Source organism: Homo sapiens, chromosome 1 (assembly GCF_000001405.40).
Source record: "Homo sapiens chromosome 1, GRCh38.p14 Primary Assembly".
Taxonomy (NCBI): Eukaryota; Metazoa; Chordata; class Mammalia; order Primates; family Hominidae; genus Homo; species Homo sapiens.
The window spans coordinates 54853420-54866303 of record NC_000001.11 but is presented as its reverse complement, the minus strand read 5'-3'; the positions used below and the strand labels follow the sequence as shown (position 1 = coordinate 54866303).

The following is a 12884-nucleotide window of genomic DNA, read 5'->3' as shown; positions in this document are numbered from 1 at the left end:
AGACAAATAACTCCCACAAAGTATGTATTTTTATTGTCATGTTACATGTGAAGAAACAGGCTCAGAGATGACCTGCCTGGGTGTGTCCCCAGCTGCCCACCCTAAAGCTTGTGCTTTTCCAGGATCCCCCCTGCCTCTCCCCGAGAGCATCTGCCAGAATTCATTTATGGATGAGGAAGCTGAGGCCAGGAGAAGCTCAGCCATCCCAAGGCACACAGCACATTGAGTCATGACCATTTAGGGCTGCAGGAGACATCAGCTCAATAGAAGATTTGGGTGTGGGAGCCCCCAGGGCCAGGGAGGTATGAGCCTTATTCATGTGAGCATCCTCCAGACGATGGTGGCTGCCTGGGGAGTGCTGTACCCGGAGGACTGTGGAGCTTGGTCCAGGGACAGCAGGGAAAGTGCCATGACCAGTTGGTGCCATGAGCCCTGGGTTGCACTGAGGGGCTGACCCATTCCCAGAGTTCGTGCTTCCCTGGCCTTGGGGAAGGTGGGAAGGGAGGGAGGGAGGGAATTCCCCTGCATGGGGCACTGCATCAGGGCAGTTAAATGTTTAACTCTGTTAAACACTTGCACCAGGCTAGGCGGGGTCGCTGAGTTCTCTAGACTGTCGGGGACTCACTGTTTGGCCCTGGGCACACACCACTTAACCTCTTTGAGCTCCTGCTCTCTCTGCTAGAGGATACCCGCTGTGCCTAACCTCACCAGCTTTCAAGAGTCTCAAAGGCAGTAATAGACATGAAAGAGCTTTGAAAAGGCCAGGAGTGCTGAACAGAAGCCGGGTGTCGCTGTTACACCCCGATGGTGCTGGGCGCTTGTCTGCAGGCTGATCACAATGCCCTCTGTCATTTCAGCTGAATAGCATTGGCAATTACTACAAGCCGTGGTTCTTTAAGCATGTGGAGAACTATCTGAAGACAAACCGAGAGGGCCTGGAGTACATTCCCTTGAGACACTACTACCACCGCCACACGCGCAGCATCTTCTGGGAGCTCCAGGTGAGGCTTAGGTTTCTGTAGCCCTGGCTCCTCCAGGCCAGCTGGGCAGGGAGCCCGGACAGTTAACACTGTAGCCATACTCTCTCCCTTCAGGGTAAAGAGTGGCTTTGTCCTAAGGAACTGCAATGCCTTCTTAAGCAGCAACACAGTCGTTTCCTTCTGAAGGAACCAACTACCTTCAGTTCAAGCAGCAGGCTCTTAGCAAGCATCTGCTTGGTGCTGGGGAGTAAGCCCCTGGGCCGGTACTTTGGGGAACACAGACCTGTTCCGCCCTTGAGGAAGGGTTAGCCTCTAGCCACGGTGAGCAGACAGATCCCTGCACTGTAAAGGGCCGCAGGAACATTAGTAGGAAGTGGCTAGTTCTGCCTAGGGCTCGAGGTAACAGCCAAGCCTGGCTGTGAAAGGTGAGTGAGAATTTGCTGTTGCATGTGTAGATGGGTGGGTGGATGAGGAGCAGTGACACTTTAAGTGGGGGAAGGTCAGGAAGAACCCCTCAGGAGATGACTTTGTGAGCAGGGACCTGAACATAGGGAAGGCAGACCAGGAACAACTCTGGGGAGGACTCTGGAACTCTGTTCACAGGCAGAGGGACAGCCAGAGCCCAGGGCTTGAGCTGGGCTAACAGGAAATTAAACATTATAAAATGGACAGTTCAGGGTAGTTTAGTACATTCACAGTGTTGTGCAACCACTACCTCTGTGTAGTTCCAAACATTTTCATCTCTGAAAAGGAAACCCTATACCCATTAAGCAGCCACTCCCTATTCTCTCCCCTTTCCCCAGCCTGTGGCAACCACCAATTCATCTTCTGTCTCTGCAGATTTACTTATTCTGGATATTTCACATATATGGAATCATTCAGTATGTGCCTTTTGTGACTGGCTTCTTTTACATAGCATAATGTTTTCATGTATCAATATTTCATTTCTTTTTATGGCGGGATAGTAGTTCATTATATGAGAGACCACATTTTGTTTTGTCACTCATCTGTTGATGGACATGTGGGTTGTTTCAACCTTTTGGCTACTGTGAACAGTGCTGCTACAAACCTTCATGTGCATGTATTTGTTTGAATACTTGTTTTCAGTTCTTTGGGATATAGAACTAGGAGTGGAATTGCTGGGTCATATGCTAATTCTGTGTCTAACTTTCTGAGCAACAACCAAACTCTTTTCCACTGAGGCTGTGCCATTTTTCATTCCCACCAGCAATGTATGAGCGCTCTATTTTTTCAACATTCTCACCAACACTTGTTATTTTCTGGTTTTTAAATTATTAGTATTATTATTATAGCCATTCTGGTGGGTTTATGGTATTGACTTGCATTTTCCTTGAAATTAATGATGCTGAGCATCTTTTTATATGCATGTTAACCGTTTTGTATATCTTCTTTGGTGAAAAGTCTATTTGAATCCTTTGCCACCTTTTAAAATTTGGTCATTTGTCTTTGTTGTTGAGATGTAAGAGTTCTTTGTGTATTCTGGATACTAGACCCTCATCAGATATATGATCTGCAAACATTTTCTCCAATTCTGTAGGTTTCTTTTCATTGTCTTGGTAACGTCCTTTGATGCACAGAAGTTTTTAATTTAGATGAATTCCAATTTATCTATTTTCCCTTTTGTTTGTGCTTTTAGTGCCATATATAAGAATTTATTGTCAAGTCCAAGCCCCTTTGTTTTCTTCAAAGACCTTTATAGTTGCAGCTCTAATCTTTAGGTTGTTGAGTGGGGTAGGAGTCCAGGCTCCATTCTTTTGCTTATAGCTATCCAGGTGTCCCAGCAAGGCTGCATGTGTTTGAAAAACAGCAAGAAGCCTTCGGAGCCAGCATGCCCACGCTGAGCTATGGTGAGGAATGAGGTCAAACAGGCACCAGAGGCTAGATCATATGGCTCCTTGTAGGTTAGGAAGGACTTTATATTTTATTCTAAGTATAATAGGAAGCCAATGAGGGCTTTGAACAGGAAAGTGGCATGGCCTGATTTTTGTTTTAAAAGAATAACTGTGACAGCTGGATAGAGTGGATGGGGACGGGAGTGGACAAGAGTGGAAGAGTAGAAGAAAGAAGATACTGTTGTCTGGGCAGCAGCAGAGGAGAAGTGTCAAATCTGGGAGATGCAGTGCAGGCTGAACCAACCAGCAGGATTTCCAGACAGATTGGCCGTGGATGTGATTCAAAGGTTCAGGGCCAAGGTTGACTGCCTTTTTTTTTTTTTTTTTTTTTTTTTTGAGGCAGAGTCTTGCTCTGTCACCCAGGCTGGAGTGCAGTGGCGCAATTTCGCCCACTGCATGCTCCGCTTCCCGGGTTCATGCCATTCTCTTGCCTCAGCCTCCCAAGTAGCTGGGACTATAGGCGCCCACCACTACGCCCAGCTAATTTTTTGTATTTTTAGTAGAGACGGGGTTTCACCATGTTAGCCAGGATGGTCTCGATCTCCTGACCTCGTGATCCACCCGCCTCGGCCTCCCAAAGTGCTGGTATTACAGGCGTGAACCACCGCACCCGGCCTGGTTGACTGCCATTTGAAACATGGGGGAGGGGACTGGAAAGGGGAATCAGAAGCCATTCAGATGTCCAGGTGGGATGACAGCAGGAGCCAGTGACGTGTGTCGGGACTTCAGGAGTTCAGTGGAGGTTGGAGCCCTATATACACATTTCTCAGCCACAGAGAAATGTTTTCTAAAGCCATGGAGGGAGATGAGTGAGGGCAGATAGAGAAGACCCTGGGACACCTTGCAGGTTAGGGGAGGAGGAACTAGCCAAGGGCAGGAGAAAGTGCTGTCAACCAGGGCAGGGGAACAAAACCAGGAGGATGTGGCATCCCGGAAGCTAAGGGAAGACTGTTTCAGGAGGAAGACCAGCAACTGTGCCACATGCTGCTGAAGGAGATGAAGACAGACTCGACCTCTGGATTTGGCCATAGGAATGTCATCATTGACTTTAAGCAATAGGGGTGAATCCTTGACCAGTGGGTTTGAGAGAGAACTGGAGACAAGGCGGTGGACACAGTGAAAACAAACCTGAGGCTCACTATCAAGAGAGGCAGAGAAACAGGGTGATGGCTGGAGGCGGGTGTGGGGCCAGGTGAAGGTACTTTGTCTGTGTGATTGCTTTAAGATGGGAGAGATGGCAGTCATGACAGTGATCCAGTGGAGGGGAAAATGACAATGCAGAAGAGAGGGTATATTGATAGGGTGAAGTCTTGAGTAGGGGAGTGGAGTGGCTCCTGAGCTCAGGTGGAGAGGCTGCCTTTTGATGGGCACATGGAAAGTTCATCCAGTTGTCAGGAGGGAAGCAGTACTAATGGCTACAGTTGCTACTAATGGGAGGACCATAGGGTGGTGGGAGGGTGTGGGAGTTCTCTTCTGATTGCTTCTGTTTTCTCAGTGAAATAAGGATTTCAGCTGAGATGAAAGGGGAGAGGATTTTGATGGTTTGAGGAGAGAAGAGATGTGAAGCTGTCCCTCGGAGAGTGGGAAATGAGTTAACTGGGGAAACACTGTGGCATTGCCAGGCAGCACTGGGCCTACCAGGGATTCACACTCATGAATTTACAGTGAGACCAGCCCTGTGTTTGTGGGTTTTCACCCAGGAATCTGTGTTGCTGGGGTACAGAGTAGGCAGAGAGTTATATTTAACCATGGCTGAGGTTTTGCAGGGAGTGTGATGTGTAGGCAAGAGTGAGGACCCAAGGGTGTGTTATGATGAAATCTAAGCCAGCTATGGAGGGGAGGCCGGATGTGAGAGGCCCCCAGGGACTGACAAGGGACTGATATGGTGGACAGGATGCCCTGGGTGGAGTGGAGCATTGAAGTCAGGGGACTAGAGGGCGTAAGCTAGGAAGAGAGGCGGTGATGGCTGAGAGCAAACACTTGCAATGGAAGCTATGGAGACTGTGAATGTAGGGCAGGGTGACAGAGCCTAGGGGTCAGCAAACTTTCCTAAAAGGCCAAACAACAAATATTTTAGGCATTCCAAGCTACAGAATCTATCACAGCTCCTCAGATCTGCCACATGGAAACAGCCAGGGATGGTACATAAATGAATAGGGATGACTGGCCCCAGTAAAACCAAATTTACAAAAACAGTCACTAGGCCACATGCTCACTTCCGCTCCCACACTGGATCCCCACGGGTAGTAATTTCTGTCCCCTCCTCCAGGGTATGTTGTGAGAGCCAGTGGCCAAGGACATGTGGAAGATAAGATCACTGGAATGTAAAGAAAGAAGGCCAAGGGCAGAGAGGCCAGGCGTGGTCAGGACCTTCTCTGTGGGTTTTAAATTACCAAAAGTTTTTTTTTTTTTTTTTCTTTTTTGAGATGAAGTCTCGCTCTGTCGCCCAGGCTGGGGTGCAGTGGCTGGATCTCGGCTCACTGCAAGTGCCGCCTCCCGGGTTCATGCCATTCTCCTGCCTCAGCCCCCCGAGTAGCTGGGACTACAGGCGCCTGCCACTGCACCTGGCTAATTTTTTTTTGTATTTTTAGCAGAGACGGGGTTTCACCATGTTAGCCAGGATGGTCTCGATCTCCTGACCTCGTGATCCGCCCGCCCCGGCCTCCCAAAGTGCTGGGATTACAGGCGTGAGCCACTGCGCCTGGCCTCACCAAAAGTTAATGTTGAAGAAAGTGACGTTTTTCCAGGAACCGGTGAAAGGAACCAAGGATGATGGGATTCGGGGAATTCAGTGATCCACACTCTAGTGAGGGGAGCCATGGTTATCAGAGGAGGTATTGGGCACATGTTTCCAAGTTTCTGAGGTTGGTTTCTGGGCATGGGGGAGGAACAGAGATCTGGAAGCAGTAATGAGGGGCCAGGGGGACCCTACCTCACCTCCGTGTATCCCAGTGGCAGGAGGGTTGTAGGGGAGAAAATGATACCACTTAAAGAGGGCTTCAGGGTTCTAGTTAACAAGGAGGGGAGAGGAATGTTCAGAGAAGAGACTGAGAATGGAGAGGGTTTTGTTAAGGTCAGACCATGAGAGCAGGGCTTGAGAGGAAAGGCGGTGGGGCAGTGGCAAGTGAAGTCAGATTAAGAGATGCTGCATTGCTGTAGTAGGCTAAGATCACAGTAACAAGGCATCTGGCAGGCCATGGTGACTAAGGACATTAGAATGTAAGGCATGACGGAATTATACCTGGTGGGCTTCTAGGAGAGGGTGATTGGTCAGTTCTGACATTGGGCAAGTATCTTAAGCAGAATGTGATTGGGCGGTGGTAGGGGTGGAGGAGTGTAGGGGTGAGGGTCTCATCATGGCCTGGAGGGGCTATGGGGTCTCCCCCACACCCATTAGTCTTAATCTTGGGCAATGTCAAGGCCCACAGCAGGTGGTGGGCAATTTTGCCAAAAGCAGAAGCCACTATGAGTCCTTCTTGATCCCTGCCAAGAGCAGTGTTAAGGTTGTGGAGTGTGGTTTTGTTAAGAGAAAGGAGAGGAACTAGTGAAAGAGGATCAGAAAGATAACAGCAGTGGTTAACATTAGCCACTCCCAATGTGGGTGGACGTTAATGCTGAACACTTTCCACGCATTATCTTCATCTTCCCAACAACCCTCTGAGAGTAGATATTAGTGTTATTTCCATTCCATAGATGAGAATACTGAGGATTAGGTTATCCAAAGTAACTACCAGCTTGGTCAACATGGCAAAACCCTGTCTCTACTAAAAATACAAAAATGAACCAGGTGGGTTGGGGCATGCCTGTAATCCCAGCTACAAGGGAGGCTGAGGCAGGAGAACCCAGGAAGTGGAGGTTGCAGTGAGCCAAGATCACGCCAGTGTACTCCAGCCTGGGCAACAGCGAGACTCTGTCTCAAAAATAAGAAAAAAAAAAGGAACTGTTGGAGACAAAGTAAATAACACAACTCAGAGAATGAGTGTATTAGTGATCTATTGCTGCATAATGAACAAAACCAAAAGTTAGAGATTAAAGCAGCAAACATTTATTATATCATAGTTTCTGAAGGTCAAGGATTTGGGAGTGGCTGATCTGGGTGGTCCTGGCTCAGGGACTCTCATGCTGTGGGCTATGGCAGTAGTCATCTGGAGGCTTGACTGGGGCTGGAAGATCTGCTTCCAGCTCACATGGATGTTGACCAGAGACCTTACCTCCTTGCCACATGGGTTCCTCCAGTGACCTCATGACAAAGCAGCTGGCTTCCCCCAGAGCAAGTGATCCAAGAGAGAGACCAAGGAAGAGTCTGCAGTGCCTTTTATGACCCAGTCGTAGGTCACACCTCTCACTTCCACCATATTCTCCTTATTAGATCAGAGTCACTAATCCAGCCCATACTCAGGGGAGGGGCACTGAGCTCCACTTCTTGAGAAAGGACTAGCAAAGAATCTAGGGGCATATGTTAAAACCGCTACAGAAGGCCGGGCGCAGTGGCTTACACCTGCAATCCAGCACTTTGGGAGGCGGAGGTGGGCGGATCACCTGAGGTCAGGAGTTTGAGACCAGCCTGACCAACATGGAGAAACCCCATCTCTACTAAAAATACAAAATTAGCCAGATGTGGTGGTGCATGCCTGTAATCTCAGCTACTCAGGAGGCTGTGGCAGGAGAATCACTTGAACCCAGAAGCGGAGGTTGTGGTGAGCTGAGATCGCGCCATTGCTCTCCAGCCTGGGCAATAAGAGTGAAACTCCATCTCAAATAAATAAATAAATAAAAATAAAAATAAAACTGCTACACAGAGCTAGGATTCAAAATGAGGTTTGTCTTACATATTTGTTCTGTTAAGTAAACACTGGCCCACACTGCCTTCAGGTAAAAGAAGAATCTGGAAGAATAGGTGTGTTCAGCCTACATTTGCATGCAGGAAGTGAACGTTCAGACCTCTAGGGATCTGTCATTGTGCTGATCTGTCATTGTGTGGTAGTAGGGAAGTGGGACTGGGAAGAGGGAGAAGTCAAGCTGTGGTGCAGTCACAAGGAAGACCTCAGCTAACCCACAGGCAGCCCTGGGGTAAGATGGCCCTCCAGAGTTGTGTCACCTTTAGGCCAGTGGGCTAGGACTTTATACCAAATGCTGCCCCATCAACCAGTCATTGTGCAGACTGACCTTGGATGAGGCAGCTCCCTTCTGCCAAGGGCAGTTCTCCCTGAGTGTCAGCAGTCAGCACCCTGTGCAGCTGGGGGAACGGGTGCCTCCCTGGAGCGGGCATCTGCGCGCAGCATCCTCTACAGTAGAAATGCAGAAGACAAGACATTTCTAGAGGGGAGGAATAAACAATTTCAAATGCATGCCTTTTCCCCCCCTCTGCTGGGATAACTCTTCTCCTCCCATTGGCGGCCTTTCCCCCAGGTTCCTCCCTGATGAGTAAGGCCCTGGAATGAACCAAGTGTGACCAGGCCTGCGTGCTAAGCCCCTTAACAAGCTGCATTCTGGGTGATTAGTCCATTCTGGTCACACCTGTGCCAGGCCTGGCTGGTCCAGTCACTTCCCTTCCCCCAGCTTGGTCAATCAGCAACACGCGGGGTCAGGGTTAGCTGCATAATTTGTAGGGCCAGGTGCAAAAAGCAGGCCAGAAGTGCCATTAAAGGTACTAAATATAAAGCTTTTTTCTTTCTCCATGGTCTGTCTCTTGTCATAAATATTTGCAACTTAATGCCATTCTAAGTGAAGAAAAATTTAAATTATTAGTATGAATTTTACTGTTCACTGTTTAAATGTTACATTTAACTCCTCATGTATATGTATTTCTTGGTTTCATTAAGAATGCTGCATAAACTCTTTTTACTTCTCTTTGTTACATGCACATTCTACCAACACTACCTTTGACTTACGGTAAGGAAGGACTGAAAGAAAAGGAGCCAAGCTGGGCAGCTCTGTCTTGTCATTCCTTTTTATGTCATCATTTTAGTATAAGCGGTTGGCTAACACAGGGAGTTAACACCAGTAAGAAAGGATAAGATAGGGTCCTTGTGTTCATAGAAGGCCATTGCCCCAGGACTTCCTGCTGGGGCTGGGGTTCCTGGCTCAGGCTGGGCCCCTTAGATTTGCCATGGGGCCCTACAGCCAGTGAGCAAGGATGGCCAGAGAACAAGGGCTGCAGTGAGATTCTCTGCAATGACTGGCCTCAGCAAGGGGGCAGCTTAGGACCCTGACATCCCAGGTCACTAAGCCACATAGGATAAGTAATGGGTGGACAGAAGCGGGAAAGGAGAAGGGCAGGGCACATGTTTAAAACTTGAACTTTCTGAGGCTAAGACTGGAAAAGGAATGGTTTCAGCTGATATATTTGGATACCAGTTGACTATTTTTAGGAAAAAAACACAAATGGCTTTTAAACATCACAGTGTGATACAGTCTAACTCAGAATTAGAGACAGGCAAAACAGAACTCCAGGAGTCTCATTTTTCACCTATCAGAATGAATGACAGTGATCTAGAAGTTTGATGTCACATTGTGCTGGCAAGGGAGAAGGGAAACAGTGTTCTACATTGTCTGGGAGAGTATAAAATGGTACAAGCTCTGAAATGGTATCCATGAAAATTGCACACACTGTTTAAGCCAAAATCTTCCACTTCTAGGAATTTATCTTTCTGACACATATATAAATGGGCAAAGATAACATATACGAAGTATATTAGTTGGAATAATCTGGAAATAATCTAAATGTCTGCCAGTATAGAAGTGATTAAATAAATTATGACACATCTGCTGTAATCGAGCAGGGGTCAATAACCTTTGTTTTTTTTTTTGAGACGGAGTCTCCCTGAGTCATCCAGGCTGGAGTGCAATGGTGCAATCTTGGCTCACTGCAACCTCCGCCTCTCCGCTTCAAACGATTCTCCTTGCCTCCGCCTCCTGAGTAGCTGGGATTACACGCACCCGCCACCACGCCCGGCTAATTTTTTTTGGTGTTTTTAGTAGAGACAGGGTTTTGCCATGTTGGCCAGGCTAGTCTTGAACTACTGACCTCAAGTGATCTGCCCGCTCAGCCTCCCAAAGCGCTGGGATTACAGGCATGAGCCACCGCACCCGATCCAATAAGCATTTTATACAATGGGCCAGATAGTATACAGTCTAGGTTTTTCGGACCATAAGGCCTCTCTAGTAACTGCTCCTCTGCCTTGTAGCCTGGAGGCAGCCATGGACAATTTGTAAAGGAACACACAACCAGAGGGTGGGCCGAATTTGTGGACCCCTGCAGCACACATTAGACACCCACAACCGAAGGCAGTAGTGCCCTCTGTATTGATACAGGATACAGTGATGAGCCAGTGGTGCTAAGATGCCACCATTTATGAGGTTTTTTTGCTTTCTGTTTTTTCAAAGCTCCTCTGCTTCTCCGTATCAGATGTCCCCCAAAGGGTAGGCAAATCATTCTTACCAATGCTTGCCATTAGGGAGGGGGAGGAGAGTTGAGGGTGGGTGGGGAGCCAGGTCAGGTCATTGCTGGGAGGGAAACAGGGTCAGGAATGCGCAGGGAGGCTTAACTTTTGTACTATGGGGATTTCTGCTGTGGGCATGTGTAGGTCTTCCAAAGGTAACCAAGGAAACAATAAAAGCCAGGCTATTTATTGAGATCCTGTTGCATGCCAGACATTGGCAAAGGCGCAGGATCTAACAGAAGAAAACAGGCAGGTCCCTGACTTCATGGGAGTGGTCCGGCAGCTCCAGAGGAGTGAGGGAAAGGGTCACTCAGCCTTCAGTGCTTACACACATGGCTGCTTTGGGGAGTCACCGTGCCCCCTAGTCTGATGTGGACCCTTTCATGAGCTGCCCCAGCCTCTGTTTGTCCCCACTCTTCCCACACTCATCCAGTGGCCTGTGTCTTCCACACCTGCGGTTGTGGGTGTCTTAAGGACAGAGACCATGTCTCAGTTATCTTGGTTCCCCAGCACCCAGCATAGAACCTGGTTCCTGACCTCGGAGGCCCCTTGGAACTGTTTTTTTTTTTTTTTTGGAGACGGAGTCTCACTCTGTCGCCCACACTGGAGTGCAGTGGCACAATCTCGGCTCACTGCAAGCTCCGCCTCCTGGGTTCACGCCATTCTCCTGCCTCAGCCTCCTGAGTAGCTGGGACTACAGGCGCCCGCCACCATGCCCGGCTAATTTTTTGTATTTTTAGTAGAAACGGGGTTTCACCGTGTTAGCCAGGATAGTCTCGATCTCCTGACCTCATGATCCATCTGCCTCGGCCTCCCAAAGTGCTGGGATTACAGGCATGAGCCACCGTGCCTGGCCAGAACTGTTTAATGAATGGAGGAGCAGCCTTGGCTTCAAGGGCTCCCAGAGCTGTGAGAATCGGGCATCAGTGGACACTGGGGACCCTCAGGAACATGGTAGGACTCAAGCAGGGAGGAGGATTGTGACCCAGGGGCCAAAGTCTTCTCTGTTGGAGGTGGGCAGAGCTGGAGGGAAGAGGGGGCCATCGTCAGGAGGCAGCAGTGCTGAGTGAGGAAGCTCCCGCCTCGTGGCAGTCTGAGGCGTGGAAGAGAACAGCTTCTGCGCAGGAGGGTTTCCAGGGAGACCGAATTGGGGGAGCCAGGCGGGTGGTCAGGCTGTGAGCAAGGGATGCTGCAAACCAGTGGGCTCCTTGTCGAACCTGAGCCAGACTGCACCCACCCCATGAGCGCTGTCTCTGGCTGTGTGCCCCTAGGGAGACTGCTTAAATTCTCTAAGAATCACTATGCTCATTCAACAGCATTCGTTTCTCAAACATTTATGGAATGCCAGCTCTATTCCAGCCAGATCTCAACAGCTAGATCAGGAATGATAGCTAGCTCATTATTGCACTCCAGGCATGGGGTTGAGTGCCTTCCACTTGGTATTAATATCTCATTATCCTCACAAGGCCCATTTTACAGATAAGGAAACTGAGCTCAAAGAAGTTAAGTAACTAGCCCGGGGTCATCACTACTGGCGAATGCCAGAGCTGAGAAGCAAACCTAGATTGGACTGGTAAAGTCCTAGGTCCCATCACACCCCCTCCAAAGAGGGGAATTGGACTCAGGCGTGCTTCTGTCAAGCACAGAATGGGACCTGGCCCCTGGCCCCTTGCACTTGGAGACATTCAACCCTTGTTGGTTTTTTTCTCTCCAACCCTAATCTTTGTTTTCCAGGACATTATCCCCTTTGGCAACAACCCCATCTTCCGCTACCTCTTTGGCTGGATGGTGCCTCCCAAGATCTCCCTCCTGAAGCTGACCCAGGGTGAGACCCTGCGCAAGCTGTACGAGCAGCACCACGTGGTGCAGGACATGCTGGTGCCCATGAAGTGCCTGCAGCAGGCCCTGCACACCTTCCAAAACGACATCCACGTGAGTGGGGCAGGGCAGGGAGGGCGCACCAGGTGCATTCCCTTGGAATCCATGGTCTCCTCCCCTGAACCGTGTGACCGACCTTGGGCACACTGCCCTCTGGGTGTTTTCCCAACTTTAAGATGAGGTCCTTGTCCCTATGTCTGCTGAGGCCTCAACCCACTCAGTGATGGCCCCCCTGGGAGAGGAGTCATAGGGTCTGGCATCGAGCACTCCCATGACCTGCTCCGATTGTGTCCTCCAAGGTGGTGGAGTCAGGGTGTTCTCAGCCAGGGCTGGGGGGCGGGGCAGTGAAGCTGAGAGCACCTGAGGGGGTCTTGAGAATGCTGCAAAGCCTTCATTTGGGTGGGTATGAGCGGGCCAGCCATGAGCCTGTCACCTGTTGGAGAAAAAGCACCAATACCCACCTCCCTGGTCTACCCAGGTCTACCCCATCTGGCTGTGTCCGTTCATCCTGCCCAGCCAGCCAGGCCTAGTGCACCCCAAAGGAAATGAGGCAGAGCTCTACATCGACATTGGAGCATATGGGGAGCCGCGTGTGAAACACTTTGAAGCCAGGTCCTGCATGAGGCAGCTGGAGAAGTTTGTCCGCAGCGTGCATGGGTGAGTGGCCCAGA

The 12884-nt window shown here is 49.5% G+C and overlaps 1 protein-coding gene across 1 annotated transcript in view; it reads left to right on the top strand.

Annotated features, from left to right (window-relative positions):
- The window catches only part of DHCR24 (24-dehydrocholesterol reductase), a 37569-nt gene that overhangs the window by 20892 nt on the left and 3793 nt on the right, over window positions 1–12884 (top strand). Inside the window, exons 6-8 of the mRNA NM_014762.4 lie at window positions 858–1001; window positions 12070–12267; window positions 12692–12870. Of these exons, the coding sequence (NP_055577.1) occupies window positions 858–1001; window positions 12070–12267; window positions 12692–12870 (521 nt within the window). The remainder of the gene's footprint in view (window positions 1–857; window positions 1002–12069; window positions 12268–12691; window positions 12871–12884) is intronic.